The following is a 4,745-nucleotide window of genomic DNA, read 5'->3' as shown; positions in this document are numbered from 1 at the left end:
TGGTTGTTAGGCCCTTACAAAATAAATACATCCCAGCTGGACCTACATTATCAGCTTTTTATCTCAGCAAATAAGAGTGAGTGCTGAATGTCTTCTGGTTTGTAGTGTTAATTAAAAATACAAAGTGAACAAAAGTTATTTTGTATATCATATTTGACTATTTTGTACTGTCCTTTTTTTAAAAAATCAATGACATCGATTTTGTATACAATCTGTGTCCTTTTCTGCCTTCCATAAGTAAAATCCCTAAACACACACTTTAGTCCTTTGATTTTCTTTATGTGCGTGTGAATTTTCACAGACTGTGCTCCATATTGGTGTCTCTGGTTTTGACAGAGACAAGAAGTGGAGAAATCCTGGGAGGGTAGGTCTTTGGTAAAGGTGAGGGCCCCACCCTCAAGCTGAAAATCCTGATACCATGGCCCAAAGTGAGAAGTTATATCCCTGTTTTGCCACTCAAATGGTGCCTTTTCCAAAACCACCCCTGGCAAACCCCAGCCAACATCCTGTGCTCATAAAAACCCCAGGTTCAGCCAGCGGAGAAAAGAGAAGCAGCTGGACAATGGAGACTACAGTTGAATGTCGGAGAGGAGTGGCTTGACTTCAGAGGGACAGCTTGATGGCATAGCTTGAGAAAGAAATCCAACCAGAAAGGGCCAGACTTCAGGGAAAGATTACCTTCCTGCTCCATGCCCCTTTTTAGCTCCCCTTCCCACTGAGAGCCACTTTCATGGACAATAAAATCCCCTACATTTACTATCTTCAATTCGTTTGTGTGACCTCATTTCTCCTGGACTCCGAACAAAAACTTTGGTGCCATGAGTGGAGGTGCAAAAGGCTGTCACATTGACCCTCCACTAAGCTGTTAACACTTGAGCCATCCATAGACAACAGAAAAGAGTAGTGTAACACTTCTTCTGGGGCCTCAGGGGTCATGGACAACCCACCTAGATGCTGCCTCAGGGCCAGTACGGAGTTCACTCCTGCTGGTGCCCAAAAGCACTCGCCCTGGCTCCTGCGCCCACTCACCTATGTGCTCCCCATCCCGTGAGGAGTGGAGCACAGCAGGTCCCAGTGAGTGGAATTTGCCCCTGCCAGCACTGAAGAGGCCAGCGATTTCCAGCGACCTTGCTCTCCAGTTCCCACCTGGTTCAGTTTCATACAACTTCATTCTATTTCTTGTTGCTTATTTTTTATGCAATATAATTTTTGTTTATTTCCAGCTATTTCTTTCCTTAGATTTTCGTTCTTTTTTTGGTTATCCTATGATCCTTTTATTTCTTAGTACTTCTTAGTGTACTATATTTATCCAACTGTTTCATATACTTTAAAACTTATTTTATTTAAATAAATTTTCACTTAGAACTTTCTTCTATTTCTTAGAATAATATAATTTTCTAACATGCATTTTCCATGTGTAGAGAATAATAGAAGATGAAGAATTTAGAATAGAGACTAAACAATGACATTTCTGAGATGATAAAAAAATATATTTTTGGAATTAAAAGAAGGGCAGCATAGTTTGAGCATATTGAGCCTGAGATATAGTTGCATATGTAGGAAGTAGCCAAACAGTGTATACTGCTGTAGGACTTTTATATCTGGTATTTGATTCCCTTCCTCACAAATGCCAATTACAATGACCAAATATGTTTTTAATACATTGAAATAGTGATAGAAAAAAAGATATAAAGAAAGTGGGCCAGAAATATTGTGAATTTTAAATAGTGCAAAGAATCAAAATGATAATTTCATGATATGCTATAGAATTGAAAACTAATGTTAATATTAATGCAAATAGAAAAGACCTTAACAAAGAGTCTTTATTAATAATTATTAAGGGGAAATATTTTAATAGAACCACAATTTTTCCTGAGATAGACTAAAAATCCAAAAGGTACATTTATGTATATTTAATATTATGTATGATATATAGACAAGTAAATAAATGAATAAATATAGGGTCTACTAGCAATATCTTATAATGTTGTGAGGTTTCCAAGTCCCTGTGTTTGTTTTCTTGAAACAACCACTAAGCTCCTTAAAGAAAAGGCTAACTTCAAAGTTTTTTCAGAGAGGATAAGCTTACAGCAGTGTTTCAATACCCCCAAGGACACATAACATTACTACATAGCTCTTCTGAAGAATTGTGCACAACTCCAAGTTGACTTAAGGAAGAAAGCCAACGTTTTCAACACAGACTAACCCCATCATGCTATTGCTTCAGTTCCTTCTTCATCTTTGGGCTGGAACCCTTGTTTACTGATGCTCCCTGGAGAACCATAAGCTCTCACATCTCCATGCACTCTCACTACTTATAGCAGATAAAGATAATCATGGTCTCTTAGCAGTCTGCATAATACATGTATGTAGGGGTAATGTTTATTTTTGATTCTTATCGTATCAAATGATTATGGCTCATGTTAATTTGCAAATGATTTCCAAGCACTAGCCATGCTCTTTCTAAGAATATATACTTGGAAATCAGACATTCTTCCCTTTCCTAAGAATTCTCCTTATTTTAATGTTCTTCCAGTTTTAATGTAAAAGGAATTTTAGTACAGAAGCATGATATAATTTATCCAGGAAAAAAGATGAAGTTATATTTATTAATTCAACAAAAATTAATGTCAAGCCACTATATATTGAACAGGGTTTCATAGCTCAGAATAAACAGATGAAATTCCTGTTCTCAGGAAAATTACAAAATATTGTGAATACAAGTGTTACAGTCAGAAGTATCAAAAGAAAAAGAACAAATAGGACATATAGATGTAGATATATCTCCTAAGATATATCTATCTATATCTATATATTCATATCTAGAGTGATTTATTTTAGAGAACTGTCTCATACCATTGTGAGGCTAGCAAGTCTTAAATCTGTAGGGCAGGCCAGCAGGCAGGCTGAAAATTTAGGAGGAAATTGATATTCCAGTCTTAAGTCTAAATTCTACAGGGTAGCAGGCTGGAAACTCAAGCAGACTTTCTATGTCATGGTCTTGAAGAGCTCTCTTCTTAGAGAAATCTCCATATTGTCTACTGATCTAAATGTTAATCACATTTTAAAGCAAAATCAAAAACAAACACTCACAGCAACATATAGATTGCTGTTTGACCAAACAACCAGGCACCATAGCCTACCCAAGTTGACACATAAAATTAACCATCTCAGCAAGGAATGTGGAGATTTGGGGGATTACAGAGAAAAAAAAGAATGGTGATTCTAGATAAATTACAATACTAAATGAGCATTGTTTTAATAGGAGAGGAAGACAAACTGGCCTGAGAAAAGCTAAAGGCAAGGGATGGAATTTTGTTTTACTTTATCACCAGTGACAGCCATAGATAGCATACAGCACAGAGTAGACACTCAGCTTGTGAAATAAAATATCAAAACTTTCTCAAAGATATATTTGATTTGTCTAAGGGAGTCTTTGGCAATAATGTAAACTTGCTACTTCAATGAATTTGGTTTAGGACGTCAATTCTTTTCTGAAACATTTAAAAATAAATGAATATTTAGGAAAATGTGATCATCTTCCCACTATAATCTGCACCATACAGTAGAATGCCTGCCACTTTGGGAGACTGCATTATATTATTTGAAAATTTAGCTGTTATGATTATATGTCTGGACAATATGAGATGCCAAATGAAAGGTACTTCATTAAAATGAACCACTAATACAAATTTTCTATAAAGCAATACATATATTCTCATGGTAATGGGCATTTGGTGTGTATCAGTAAAACTATCATTCACATGCAACCTCTGTCTCTTTCTTTTTCTCTGTTTTTGGAAACTAAGTCTCCCAAGTAACATCTGTGAAAAATAATAAGCTTAGAAGAACACTATCAATCTGTCCGTGCCTCACTTTATTTTAGAGTGTCTATCAGAGCTTCTGACCTTAGAATAAAGAATAATAAAGCAAGTCATAACCTTAATGTATTTTTAAAAGATTGTGTATGCTTCTCTTATGAACTCTTTGCTTATAATGCCACTATATTCATTTATTCACACCACAAATATTTATGAAATGTCTATCATGTGCCAGACACAACAATGAAAAAAATACTCAAAATTCCCTGATTTCATGGAGCTTAGGTTCTAATTGGAGAGGGTGAGAAACATTATCAATAAAAAATAAAATTCATGATATGTCATGAATGCCAGATGATAGTAAACTCTAGAGAGAAAATGAATACAGGGGTGGCCTAATAAAGTACCAGGGAGTTGTGTTTAAATAAGATGGTCATAGAAAGATATGCAGGAATATCTAAGATCATCTAGAGGAAGATTATTTCAGCCAGAAAATAAAATAAGGTTTGCAAAGGCGTTGAGGAAGATGCATACCTGACATGCCTGTAGTTTGAACACAGTGAGTGAGGGCATGAGGAGAGAGAACTTTAGCTGGAGAGGAAGTGAGAGAAGTAGCAGGTCAGAGGAAGAAATGAAGATAAATTGAAGTATTGAAAGTGTTCAAAAGGATTTTATGAGGAAAAGATACTTTTATATACTACTTTTATGAGGAAAAGATAAGAATCTATCAGTGGATTTTGAAGTATATTTGCCCCCCCTCAGAAAATGAAATAAAATAATGATTGTTGTACGCTACTTAATTTTCTTATACCATCTACGTAAATATCTTGCTGCATACATAGTTAATATTTACAAAAAAGGAGTGATGAGTTATGGGAAAAGGAAATATTTATTAAGCACCAAGTATATACACAGTATGAAATT

At 35.4% G+C, this 4,745-nt stretch overlaps 1 annotated feature.

Moving 5' to 3' along the window:
- Nucleotides 202-371: an enhancer, noted in NCBI's record as "experimental_75090 CRE fragment used in MPRA reporter constructs". NCBI's record gives its function as "activates a minimal promoter by MPRAs in K562 erythroleukemia cells, with activity observed for the introgressed 4:161385376 variant allele {active_cell/tissue: K562}" and the evidence as "EXISTENCE:reporter gene assay evidence [ECO:0000049][PMID:34662402]".

This window comes from Homo sapiens, chromosome 4, assembly GCF_000001405.40.
Source record: "Homo sapiens chromosome 4, GRCh38.p14 Primary Assembly".
Taxonomy (NCBI): Eukaryota; Metazoa; Chordata; class Mammalia; order Primates; family Hominidae; genus Homo; species Homo sapiens.
This window is presented reverse-complemented; position numbering and strand designations above follow the sequence as displayed.